Source organism: Homo sapiens, chromosome 17 (genome assembly GCF_000001405.40).
Source record: "Homo sapiens chromosome 17, GRCh38.p14 Primary Assembly".
In the NCBI taxonomy this organism is placed as follows: Eukaryota; Metazoa; Chordata; class Mammalia; order Primates; family Hominidae; genus Homo; species Homo sapiens.
This window is the reverse complement of record NC_000017.11, coordinates 74,307,908-74,320,683: the sequence shown is the minus strand read 5'-3', so window position 1 is coordinate 74,320,683 and position 12,776 is coordinate 74,307,908. Positions and strand designations below refer to the sequence as shown.

Here is a 12,776-nt window from a genome sequence, read left to right as displayed (position 1 = left end):
GTGAGAGTTTAGTCAATGAATGAGTGAGAAAATCTACTTGAGCAAACCTGCCCACACACAGCAGGAGCATTTGATTTAGACCCACGTGCAGACATTTAAGATCCTTGGAAACAGCCGACATCTCATCAGAAAAGGGATTTAGGCCAGATGTGATGGCTCATGCTTATAATCCCAACACTTTGGGAGGCCGAGGCAGAAAGATCTCTTGAGCTCAGAGTTCGAGACTAGCCTGGGCACCATAGGGAGACCGCCCCTGTTCCCACCACCCTGCTGTCTCTATAAATAAATAAATAAATAAGGAAGTCAGGCATGATGGTGCACACCGCTAGTCCCAGCTACTCAGGAGGCTGAGGTGGGAGGATCACTTGAGTTCAGGAGGTTGAGGCTGCAAGTGAATTATGATCGTGCCACTGCACTCCAGCCTGGGCAACAGAGCGTGACTGTGTCAAAAAAAAAAAAAAAGAAGAAAGAGAGAAAGAGAGAGAGAGAGAGAAAGAGAGAGAGAGAGAGAAAGAGAGAGAGAAAGAAAGAAAGAAAGGGGGACTTACCGCTTCAGCTTCACCTCAGCCCAGGAAACTAAGGTTTAGTATGCACCTGCAATCTGCTGGTAGCCACTTTAGGTGCTGAATCTGTGTTGTCATGGTTAATCTTCACTAGAATCTTTTGTTTACCTATGAGGGTCCTAAGACTCAGGGATGCTGAGGAACTCCTGTTCATGGTCAAACCGCATACATTAAAGGTTACTAAAAACCTACCTGGGCTCAGGCTTTTGTGAGCTCATTGAAATCTTCATTGAGTTGCCTGAAGTGAGCCCTCCAATGGGCAAAACTTCTCTTGCTTAATAAGAAGGCTGTTGCTGCCAAAGCAAGTGTAGATGGCATCGGTGACCATCTCCAAGTAGCAATGATTTTTTTTTTTTTTTTTGAGACGGAGTCTTGCTCTGTCATCCAGGCTGGAGAACAATGGTGCGATCTCGGCTCACTGCAACCTCTGCCTCCTGGGTTCAAGCAATTCACCTGCCTCAGCCTCCCGAGTATCTGGGATTAAAGGCATGTGCCATCACGGCCAACTAATTTTTGTATTTTTAGTACAGACAGGGTTTCACCATTTTGGCCAGGTTGGTCTCGAACTCCTGACCTCAGGTGATCCGCCCACCTCGGCTTCCCAAAGTGTTAGGATTACAGGTGTCAGCCACCGTGCCCGGCCTGATTTTTTCAATCAGAGATATATGACATTCTCCATTTCCCCCCAAACCCACCTGTAGTTGGAAGCCACTGGTTTTGATAAGCCCTTTCTAAAGCCCGTTGGCCCTCTAGAGCTCTAGGGCAACCTGGGCAAAGTCCCACCTCCTTGTGTTCTGGGCATGGCTACTCCCAGGCTTGGCTCCTGGAGGTACGACTTGGGAGGGGAAATGGAAGAGAGTTATTGGGAAAACAAAGCATGGATTGAGGACTTTTCTCTTAAGCCCCAGCATCCTCTTCCAAATTTGGGGTGCAGATGCTGAAAGGACCCCAAGAAACAAATTCACAAGTCATTCTAGTAGCTCCTTGTACTAACCTAGAACTTGCCACCAGCCATGAGGCCTGTCCCAGGTGGTCGTCAGATGCTTCTAAGTGAGGGAGGTGATAGGCGTTTATTGAGCACTTATTTTGAACCCAGTGGCTAGTGTGTTATTTCATTTACTCACCCAAACAATTCCTGAAGGTAGATAGCAGAGGTGCAGAGAGGTAAGTAATTTCGTGGCCATCGCCCCACTCCAAGCTGCCATCTCTTTTGCCTGACACCACAATGTGCTCCCAACCGACCCCCAGGTGCCTCCCTCCAGGCCTCCCTCCACCAGCAAAGGCTTCATCAAGCCGCACCCGTGCTTCTCAGTGATCTTTGGAGCAAGGTCAAAATCCTTGACATCAAGACCTGCCCCAGCAGACTCTTGCTGTCGCTGGCTGGTTCCAGGCTCTAGCCCTTACTCACTCCGGTCACACTGATGACTCCCTGTTGGTCTAACAGAGCAGCACCGGCTTCTTTCCTCCTTCCGGAATTGTGTGTGCAGCTGCCCTGCCTGGGGTGCCCCTCCACACAGATGCGCACGTCATCACACATGCACACAGATGCACTCGCACGTGTACACACATCTCTGCTCATGCTTGTTCTTAAGGTCTCAGCTGCATTGTCCCTTTCTCATGGAGGCCTCCTGGCCAGCTCCTTCTTCTCTAGAGTCTAGGTTAGTTCTTCCTGTTATCCCTCTCACGGCACCCTGTACTCTTCCTTAACATGCACTTTGCACAACTGTCGTTCTGTAGGTATCTGCCTATCTATCAGCTTTCCCTGCCTCCCACTGGTGTACCGGCTCTGGGAGGCGGGGCCTGCATCTGGTTTATTCTCCACTCATGGCAAGTGCCTGGCACAGGGCTGAGTGTAGGCAACGTTACCCGGATGGCAAGCGCCTGAGCTGGGTTCAGACTTCCCTGCCTGGAAATGCCGTGAAAACACTGCCTCTATCTACACTTCCCACCAGTGCTGCAGGCGTCCCCAGGACGTCAGCACACAGAGAGGCTGGCTGGGGGGTCTCTGGATGCTGACCCTGGTAGGCCATCAGTAGTCACTTAAAAAAGTTTTTAATAGGCCGAGCACGACGGCTCATGCCTGTAATCCCAGCACTTTGGGAGGCCTAGGCGGGTGGATCACTTGAGGTCAGGAGTTTGAGACCAGCCTGGCCAACATGGTGAAACCCCGTCTCTACTAATAATACAAAATTAGCCAGGCGTGGTGGCTGGCATCTGTAGTCCCAGCTACTTGAGAGGCTGAGGCAGGAGAATCACTTGAACCTGGGAGGCAGAGGTTGCAGTGAGCTGAGATCATGCCATTGCACTCCAGCCTGGACAACAAGAGGGAAACTCCGTTGCAAAAAAAAAAAAAATTATATATATATATATACATACATACATATACATAATAAAGATGAGGTCTCCTTAGTTTGCCCAGGCTGGTCTTGAACTCCTAGGCTCAAGTGATCCTCCTGCCTTGGCCTTCCAAAGTGCTGAGATTATATGTGTGAGCCACTGCGTCAGGCCAGCAGTCACCTTTGCCTCCTACTTGGGCATCAGTAACATCTCAGGGGCCTCTGGGACCCGGGAAACACTTAATTTTGTTACTTATAAAGGGCAGGGGGTCCCTCCTCAGAGTCCTGCCTTGGGGCCTACAGTCCCCAGCAGCCACACGGTGGGGAAAGGGGACAGTGATTCTCCCAAGAGCCACTGGGCTGTTGTGGTCACAGTGGAAGCATCTTTGGTTAAGCGGTGCATTCATTAAGTCAGCTGAGCAAAAGAGGCCAAGGAAGCACCCCCTTTTCCGGGTGGCACGGACAGGAAGGACGTCACTGTGCTGTGGACACTTGAGTCCGGCCGCTGCTTCCGCACTTCCCAAACCGGCTCCAGCGTGGTCCCAGTGCACAGTCCACACCCACGGGGTGGGTTTTTCCAGGCACCTCTGGCGCCCCAGTGATGCCTCGTGGTTTGGTTTGCCTCCTCTTAGGAAGGGACTAAACAACAGATTCCTGGTGAGGCCAGCGTGAGAGGTCAGTGAAGGTCATCGTACGGGTTGGCAGCATTGGCACCGCACCCGCTGAGCTCGTGCTGCCCTTTGCCGGGTGCCGTCTGTGGGGCTCTCCTTTCCTCTTCCACGGCCACTCCTCAAATGCCTCTTCAAATGCTGTCCCTGCCCAGTGGCGTTCTCTGCACCCACAAGGGACCTGCTGATTCCATCAGGCAGCCTCCTTTTGCAGGCACAAGCCAAAGGTCAAAATTCCAGTTCAGTGAAAGAAGGTCCTCCTGCCTTCGAGCTCATGGTGCCAGCCTCTCACAGGGGCCTTCGGTGTGCTCAGGTTAGTGTGTGCAGAGCCTGTACTTTCTCTTGGGATGCTCCATTTGGGTAGATTTTTCTCTAAATTGGGCCTCTCTAGCATGACTCCACTGTCCAAAATGTAGGGGGCTGTCCTGTGTGCAGGATGCTGAGCAGGGTCCCTGTCTCTACCCACTCAATGCCAGAAGCACTCTCCTCACCGGTTGTCCCCAGACATTGACAGATGTCCTGTTGGGGGCAAAATCTTCCCCAGTAGAGAATCGCTGCTCTAGGCAGGGCGTTCCTGAGGACGGCACTGAGGCTGTGTGTGTCCCTGCTCAGCGAGGGGCCTGCTGCTCCCTCGTGGCCCCCTCCGTCTGATGCTGGAATGGCCCAGCCCACTCCTCTTACCCGGGTCCTGGGAGTGCAGTGTGCATGGCGTAAGCTGTAGGGCTGTGACTCTGGGCTGAAGTCTCAGCTCTGCTACCCACTCCCACTGGACTCAGCAAGTTACTCCCTCTCTCTCTCTCGCCTGCTACATCCATAACGTGGGGATTGAAATGTGAGATCACTCCTGGGGCACTTGTGAAGATCAAGCACTCAGCATAACCTGAATTATTGTTTTTATCAAGGTTAACCACAGTCGACAGCTCCATTTTTCTCTTTGAGTACGGGGGGCAGCTGGCCCTGGGTCCCTCCTCAAGGAGATTATTTTATTTTATTTATTTATTTTTGAGATGGAGTTTCACTCTTATCGCCCAGGCTGGAGTGCAATGGCATGATCTCGGCTCACTGCAGCCTCTGCCTCCCAGGTTCAAGTGATCCTCCTGCCTCAGCCTCCCGAGTAGCTGGGGCTACAGGCATGTGCCATTAAACCTGGCTAAGTTTTTTGTATTTTTAGTAGAGACAGGGTTTCACCATTTTGGCCAGGCTAGTCTTGAACTCCTGACCTCAGGTGATATACCCGCCTCAGCCTCCCAAAGTGCTGGGATTACAGGCGTGAGCCACCGCGCCTGGCCATTTTATTTTGTTTTCAAGACAGGGCCTTGCTCCGTTGCCCAGGCTGGAGGGCAGTGGTGCGATTGTGGCTCACCGTAGTCTCGAGCTCCTGGGCTCAAGTCATCTTCCCACCTCAGCCTCCTGAGTAGCTGGAATTACAGTGGTGCGCCACCACACCAGGCTAATTTTTGTATTTTTTATAGAGATGGGGTTTCCCCATGTTGCCCACACTGGTCTCGAACTCCTGGGCTTAAGTGATCCTCCCACCTTGGCCTCCCAAAGTACTGGGATTACAGGTGTGAGCCACTGCACCCAGCCAAGGAGATTCTTAACATGGCCATTTTTCTTTCTTTTTCTAAATTAGAGATGGGGGTCTCACTATGCTGTCCAAGCTGGTCTCAGGTGATCCTCCTTGACTCCTGGGCTCAAGTGATCCTCCTGTCTTGGCCTCCCAAAGTGCTCAGATTACAGGCGTGAGCCACGAAACCTGACCAACACATTTTTCAAGGGCATTTTTCAAGGGCACTTTGGGTCCCTGCCAAGGTCACCTGCCATCCACAGGATGATGATGGTCAGGGCATTGTTCCTTGTGCAAGGTTGGCACTGAAGTGCCCTCTCGACCTCCCAATGTCTCTGGTAATGGTCACTGACTGCTCTGTTGAGCTGCGGTTTCAGGGCACCCCCAGGGCAGCCCACTTCCCACCCTGGAGTCCCCGAGAGGCCTGCACAGCACCTGGCCCACAGTTGATGACCGTGCAGGGTCAGGAATGAGCTGCCTGGGCTCCCGTCCCCGCTGTGCCCCGTCACGAGTTCTGAGACTTGGGCACGTCCCTGTACCGCTCCTGGAACCTCCTGTGTAGTATAAAGGTGATGGGAGCACACAGTTCCAGGGATGTCGTGAATGAGTTACACGAGATAACGTGACAGGCTCTGGGTGCAGGATGCATCACACGTACTAACTCGTGGCATTGTTACGATTCATTTAATTTTACAAGAATTAGGATAACAGAAAGCATTCAGGTGCAGCAGAACAGCCAAGCTCGTCCCGCCCGTCCCCTCCCACATACTTGGAGGCTCCTGTCGTGGCAATGTGTCCAAATGGTCAGGGAGCTGCCTGGAAAGGTATTTTCAAAGTGGACAGACTTTCTGTTCCTGATTTGTAGGTGGACGAGGAGGGTCGATCATGGAGGAGAAACCCTTCCCCACTCCTGAAGGTCTTCCCGAGGCCCTGCCATGGCCATGCAAGTCTGGTTGAGGGTCTGCAAGGTTACAAACGAAAATGATTGCTGGGGAGCCTGTGAGAAGCTGAATCCCAGGAGACATCCAGGACTAGGACTAAGGTGGCCTCGGCCTTGGGGTGGGCTCAGGGTGGCTGAGACAATGGGGCAGCCAGCTCCGGGACAAGCCCCGCCCCTTCCCTCTCTCCAAGGGGTGGCTCAGGACTCAGTGCCCAGTGAGTCAGTGGGGGCTAGTGATTTGTAGGGGCTGGGGAGTCAGGGCCCGATGCTCCCAGCCCACCACCCAGTGCTGCTTTAAGGCGGAGCTCAGCCTCCCACTTGTGAGAGCGGGGCAATACCAAGAGGTGGGAAAGGAAGGCACACAGGGATAGCGCCGCAGTCGAAGGCTGACTTCTAGGCTAAGTCTTCTTCCACTTCTTCATCCCCTTCTTCCCCCGCTGCTTCCTCTCCCTCCTCCACCACCTGGTCTTCTTCTGGACTTGGTTGCTGCTGCAGGGGAAGACAGCACAGAAGTGTTGGTGTTGGTAGGGGACAGGCCTTCCCCACTCCCCTGGGATGTGAACCCCACGAGGACCAAAGCAGCCAAATGGCTGAAGCCTGGGTCGCTGAGCACCCTGGAACCCGGGTGCCAGCTCTGCGGCTGGTGAGGGCCCAGACAGTGCGGAAAGTGGGCAGAGCTGGGGGAATCTGGCAGACTTGGGTTCACGCCTGGCTTCTGCCACATGCAGACTGGGAGGCCTCGGGCTAGCTCCTCCTGAGTCTCCTTGGCCCCCTCACCCATAGAGAGGACAGGACACCTTGCAGGGCTGTGGCCAGGATTAGAAATAGTGGGCATAAGGACCCAGCCTATGTAAAACAGCTTCAGTACCACGCGGTACTTTGTGACCACCAGCGTTTTGGGCCAATTGCAGACTAAGAGAGAGACAGGAAGTGTGTGGCAGGCAGGAGGAGGAAGGGGCCAAGTTCTGTGAACCTGAACCCCTTCCAAGGCTCAACTTCTTCATGTAGAATGTTCAAGCCATGGTGAGGAGCACGTTTTGGGACATATGTCACAAAGCATGGTGCCTACCAGCCACCATTGCGTTGTAAAAGGTGGCCAGTGTCATCTTTGCCTTCTGCAGGGCTGGATAGGCCAGGAGTGGTGAGTGGGAGGAGCCCTGGATTAGGCGTCAGAATCCAGGATTCTAGTTTTGCCTCCACCAGAAGTGGAGGGAGCTCTCTGCCCCACCTGTATTACCCAGTGTGAGAAGAAAACATCTCATAACCAAGTACCCCCAAATGCAAAATGCACCTGTGGAAATCACAGCTTTAGACCCAGGGGGAGGGAGGCAGAAGAGGGAAGAAATCACAAGATGGAACCAGTTATCTTCCCTGTGTGCTCATGCACCATCCTTCGCTCTGTCCACTCTATCAGGGACCAAGAACTTGCCATACAGCTCTTCTTCAAGCAGGCGTCATGGGTGGGTGCTCTGTGCAGATACACTGGACCCTGTCTCAGCAGGGCCCACGCTTGGTTTAACGCTCTATTGTCACTGTTTTAAAATTATTAATACTTTTTAAACGAGGGCCCTCACATTTTCATTTTGCAGTGCCTGCAATCCCCAAGTCTGCAGCCAGTCTTGCCTACAAGGGTAAATCCTGGCATATACCCGCTGTTTCTTTTCCCTTCCACGCTGCTCTTTGGCTCTTTCATATCTTGGCATCTTATCTGTGGGGCCTGAAGGAGGTGACCCAGACAGGCAATGTCTTTTCTTCCTCTCTCCGCTGGTACAAAAGAGGGCCTGGAAGATGACCAGACACCATCTTTATAGCAACATCTCCTCATTTTCCAGATGGAAATGAAGGAAGCCAGAAGTGAAGCGACCAGCTCAGGTGATACAGCTAGAAAGTGCTTTAGAGCTGGGGCCATGGGCAGATGAGCTGACCACAGGTCACACTCCTGACACCAAACCTGGGTAAGCCAGCATGACGTGCACACCGCTAATGTCCCAGCCCTTCCCTCCAGGGGTCTCAAGGCCCATTCCTCTCTGACAGCTCACTTACCTCTAGGACCCTCGTTCAGTCACTCAACACACATGTTCCCTCGTTCAGTCACTCAACACGCATTTTCACCATGTGCCCTCTCTGGGGGGAGGGGAGGATACCAGGAGGCATGGAGTATGGTTCCTGCCTGTAAGGAGCCTGAAGTCTGTTTGGAGACTTGGGATGCTTTGGAAGGAAGGGAATAATTCTTCCCACTTGCCAGGTGAATAAATTAAGATCTAGCAGGTAAGACTACTTGCTCAAGGTCACCCAGGAAGTCGGCAAGCAGAAGCAGAACCCAAGTGCCATGTGTCCCGCCCAGTCCCCAACCCACCCAACCCCTGTCCAGGCCCCTACAGGCACTGGCGTCAGCTTTATGGCGTCTGCCTCCTTCTTCTTCAGCTCTGCGAAGATGATGTCGAAGAACTCCTCCTCGGCCTTGCTGACCAGCGCCTCCAGGTCTACGGCCAGCTCCTCATCGGTCTGCTCCTCATCCCTGCCCTCCGCCTTACCCTTCTCCTTCAGCCGCATCTCCCGGTGCCTGGCCTCCAGGATCTTCTCTCGCCGGGTCTCACGCTCAAACATCTGGGCACCCAGGGACAGAGAGAGCCCGGTGGGGAGAGGGCAGGATGGCAAGCGACTCCAGTGCTGGGGCCAGGTGGGGCTTCTGCTGAGCTCTCCTTGCTCTCCATACAGTCCCTGTACTGTAGAGGTCTGTACCCAGGGCTGGTGTCAAGGAAGGAGGGCTGAATATTGGGGTTGGAAGGCTGCAGCAGGGACACTGAGTTACTCAATGCCAAGGAGCATGGAGTTCCAGAACCACAGGCAGAAGAGCGCCCTTTGGAGCTATGAAATATGGCGGCTTTGGCCCAACAAGGACCAGCTCAATGGTGAGATCCCAGTCTCAGGCAGAGCCAGGAGGCTCTCCAGGCCTCAGCACTAGGGGTTTTCCTTTTTTGTTTTGTTTTGTTTTTGAGACAGAGTTTCACTCTTGTTGCCCAGGCTGGAATGCAATGGCACGATCTCGGCTCACCACAACCTCTGCTTCCCACGTTCAAGCAATTCTCCTGCCTCAGCCTCTCAAGGAGCTGGGATTACAGGCATGTGACGCCATGCCTGGCTAATTTTCTATTTTTAGTAGAGACGAGGTTTCTTCATGTTGGTCAGGCTGGTCTCGAACTCCCGACCTCAGGTGATCTGCCCGCCTCGGCCTCCCAAAGTGCTGGGATTACAGGCGTGAGCCACCACACCCGGCCCTAGCACTAGGGGTTTTCAGTTCCACAGTGTTCCCCATGGTTCTGGGGGGTTGCCTGCAGGGCTGTCCACTGGGGAAAGGATGTAGGAATGGATCTCAGTCCCCCTCTTCAAGTCCCCTTCTATCTGGCTTCCCTATTAGCATTCTACTAAGTCTTCAGGCTGGGCGTGGTGGCTCATGCCTATAATCCCAGCAGTTTGGGAGGCTGAGGTGGAAGGATTGCTTGAGCCCTGGAGTTTCAGACCAGCCTGGGCAACATAAGGAGACCCTGTCTCTACAAAAATTAAAAAATGAGCCAGGCATGGTGGTGCATGCCTGTGGTCCCAGCAACTCAGGAGGCTGAGGTGGGAGGACCGATTCAGCCTGGGAGGTAGAGGCTGCAGTGGGCCATGATTGTGCCACTGCACTCCAGCCTGGGCAACAAAGCAAGACCCTGTCTCAAAATGAAGTAAAATAAAATAAACTGATAAAATAAAAATAAATAAAATAATTAGGCTGGGCACGGTGGCTCACGCCTATAATCCCAGCACTTTCGGAGGCCAGGGTGGGCAGATCATCTTAAGGTCAAGAGTTCAAGACCAGCCTGGCCAGTATGGTGAGATCCTGTCTCTATTAAAAATACAAAAATTAGCTGGGCGTGGTGGTATGCACTTGTAATCCCAGGTACTCAGGAGGCTGAGGCAGGAGAATCACTTGAACCTGGGAAGCAGAGATTGCAGTGAGCCTAGATCTCACCATTGCACTCCAGCCTGGGCAACAGAGCGTGACTTTGTCTCAAAAATAAATAAATAAATAAAAATAATTAAATTAAAATACAATATAATATAATACAATACTAAGCCTTCATTGGAAAGTTTCCACAAAAAAAAAAAAGTGTTATTTGAAACTAGACAAACTGACCAAGTCGAACCTCTTTGATTTACAGGTAAAAAACTGAATCCTGGAGAGTGACGTGACTTACTGAAGGCCACTTAGCTACCCAGCAGTTGAGCAAAGGCAAATGGACACACCAACACCTATTTATGGAGCCCACACTGCTTCCCCCAAAATGTGCACCTATGTTCTGGGGGTGGGAGGGCGGGGCCATCTATTTGTCTGACTAGCCTGCTCTGCTGTGGGGCCAGGTCGGGACGTGCTGGAGGGATTTTCCCCAGGCACCCGGTGCTTACGGAAGAGGCTACGTTCTTCTCATTCCTCTGGAGGGTAGAGAGCCCAGGCGAGACCTCCAGCAGGGTGGTTGTCCCCAGCTGGGAGCCGCAGGCGATGAGACACCCATTGTCCTGCACCCGGAGGCAGAAGAGGGCCTCGTCACACACCTATTGAAGGGGCCGGGCAGACCCAGGTAGAGGAGAGAGGAGCAAAGTTATGTGTGTCTGATTAACTGGCCCCTGGGGAGGCTCAGCCACTTGGCCCTATTCAAACATCCTCAGGACGCCTCTGCCCACAGGATGAAGTTCAAACTCGGAGACTGGTTGTCAAGGCTCCTGGCTTCCCTGCCTCATCTCCCGCCCCACCCCTTCAGTTCCGCCTCACAGTCACCCTGTGGTTCCCCAATGCCCCCACCCTTCCGTGGCCCCAGCCAGTGGGGCTCAGCTCTGGCCACCCTGACATGAAGGGGAAGGTCCAGCAGCCAAACCCCAGGGGCTCTGAAGGAATCGGCCTGTGGGTAGGAGATGCCGGGTACCTGCTTTTGTTTCTTTTTAAATTTCCCCCAGGTGGTTCTGTTGTGCTACCAGGATGCCAAATCCCCCAGGCCCCTTAACCTTTGTAGGAGCACACGCTCAAAAGCAATCGCTGCAGTCAGCCTGCACACGGCTCCCCCACAGAGGCCCAAACACACCTGGCCACACACTGCACACGTGCTCACAGCACCCCACACTCACACCCACGCCGGGACCTGGCTCCCTGAGGACCTGGATGCACAAGGAGGGACATGCGCGTGACCTTCAAGCTGAGGGTGGGATCGCACTGCTCGAACATGAAGTCCCAGATATCCAGGGTTCCGTCCATCCTGGTGGTAAAGAAAACGGTCGGCCTCACGGGGCTCCAGGCAGCATCAGTGAGGTAAGCCATGTGGTACCTGTGGGAGGTAGACCACATCATGGTTGGAGGGACAGAGGCTTCTGAGCCACAGCTTGGCTCACTTGGTCCCTTCTGGGCTCCAGGATCTCAGAGTCTTGCTAGGTAGGAAGTTCTTCCTTGTGTCTGACTTCTAGCTGTGCTGACCTCACTCATCCACAGCTCACAGGTTGCTTTTTTTTTTTTTTTTTTTGAGACACTCTTGCTCTGTTGCCCAGGCTGGAGTGCAGTGGTACGATGTCGGCTCACTGCAATCTCTGCCTCCTGGGTTCAAGCAATTCTCCTGTCTCAGCCTCCCGAGTAACTGGGATTACTGGCGCCCGTCACCACACCCAGCTAATATTTTATTTTTGCTAGAGATGGGGTTTCACCATGTTGGCCAGGCTGCTCTCAAACTCTTGACCTCAGGTGTCTGACAGGCTGTTCTTTAAAGGGCTCTGGGCTGGTCATGTGCCTGTAATCCCAGCACTTTGGGAGGCCAAGGCAGGAAGATCGCTTGAAGCCAGGATTTTGAGACCAGCCTGGACAACATGGAAAGACCCTGTTTCTACAAAAAATAAAAAAATTAGCCGGGTGTGGTGGTGAGCACCTGTGGTCCCAGCTCCTCGGGAGGCTGAGATGGGAGGATCGCTTGAGCCCAGGAGGTCGAGGCTGCAGTGAGCCATGTTTGTGCCACTGTACTCCAGCCTGGGCAACGTAGTGAGACCCTGTCTCAAATAAAATAAAGAAAGGGCTCTGGGCACAGTCCTTCCCGTGGGCTGGCCACTGGCATTTCTCTGCTGCTAACTCCAGGCAGCAGGCACGTGTTGCTGGACCTGGTCCCAGCCCTGGGACTCACGGATGGGAGTCAGAGGAAGGACATGCCCAGAAAAGCTGCTACCGCTGAGATAAGGAGAGTGTCACTTCCTACTTGGTTTCATCTGGGTTTTCAAGAGTTTCTTCAGTGAAGACGGAACATTTTTTTAAAAGGGACACACACACAGTGCAGCCTTCAGATTTTCACCCAGACCTCCTCTCCCTTCCTCCATTGCAATATAGTTGTAGCTGGGCCCCTGGTGAGCAAGGCAGACTACACTTCCCAGTCACCTTTGCAAACCTAGTGTGTTGACAGCCAGACCACAGTGGGAGAAATGATCAAGACTAAAGAAAGGATCTGGGCCGGGCGCGGTGGCTCATGCCTGTCATCCCAGGACTTTGGGAGGCCGAGAATGGTGGATCACCTGAGGTCAGGAGTTTGAGATCAGCCTGGCCAACATGGCAGAACCCTGCCTCTACTAAAAATAAAAAAATTATCCAGGGGTGTTGGTGGGCGCCTGTAATCCCAGCTACTCAGGAGGCTGAGGCAG

General features: G+C 53.2%; 1 protein-coding gene and 1 long non-coding RNA gene across 21 annotated transcripts in view; one reads left to right on the top strand and one right to left on the bottom strand.

Moving 5' to 3' along the window:
* The first annotated feature begins 3,421 nt into the window (after nt 1–3,421).
* On the top strand, nt 3,422–10,427 carry LOC105371891 (uncharacterized). Of its 4 annotated transcripts, none has more exons than XR_934971.3 (4): nt 3,422–3,574; nt 7,907–8,029; nt 8,499–8,986; nt 10,277–10,427. It is a non-coding gene; the product is annotated as an uncharacterized LOC105371891 (long non-coding RNA). The 4 variants fall into 4 exon arrangements; XR_934970.3 differs by lacking the exon at nt 3,422–3,574 and adding an exon at nt 3,721–3,880; XR_007065896.1 differs by lacking the exon at nt 3,422–3,574 and having other exon boundaries at nt 7,816–8,029; nt 8,499–8,754.
* The window catches only part of DNAI2 (dynein axonemal intermediate chain 2), a 40,651-nt gene continuing 33,674 nt past the window's right edge, over nt 5,800–12,776 (bottom strand). For 8 of the 17 annotated variants that reach the window (XR_007065388.1, XR_007065396.1, XR_007065389.1 and 5 more), the window contains 6 exons: nt 11,296–11,431; nt 10,521–10,667; nt 8,454–8,681; nt 7,724–7,855; nt 6,413–6,563; nt 5,800–6,095 (listed from right to left, as the gene is read on the bottom strand). Coding sequence is in view for 4 of the 17 variants with exons in the window: in NM_001353167.2 (NP_001340096.1) it covers nt 6,468–6,563; nt 7,724–7,855; nt 8,454–8,681; nt 10,521–10,667; nt 11,296–11,431 (739 nt within the window). In the remaining 13 variants the exon portion in view is untranslated. Of the gene's footprint in view, nt 6,096–6,412; nt 6,564–7,143; nt 7,856–8,453; nt 8,682–10,520; nt 10,668–11,295; nt 11,432–12,776 lie in introns of those variants that run through there. The other 9 variants (XR_007065398.1, NR_148379.2, XR_007065397.1 and 6 more) reach the window with 7 other exon arrangements.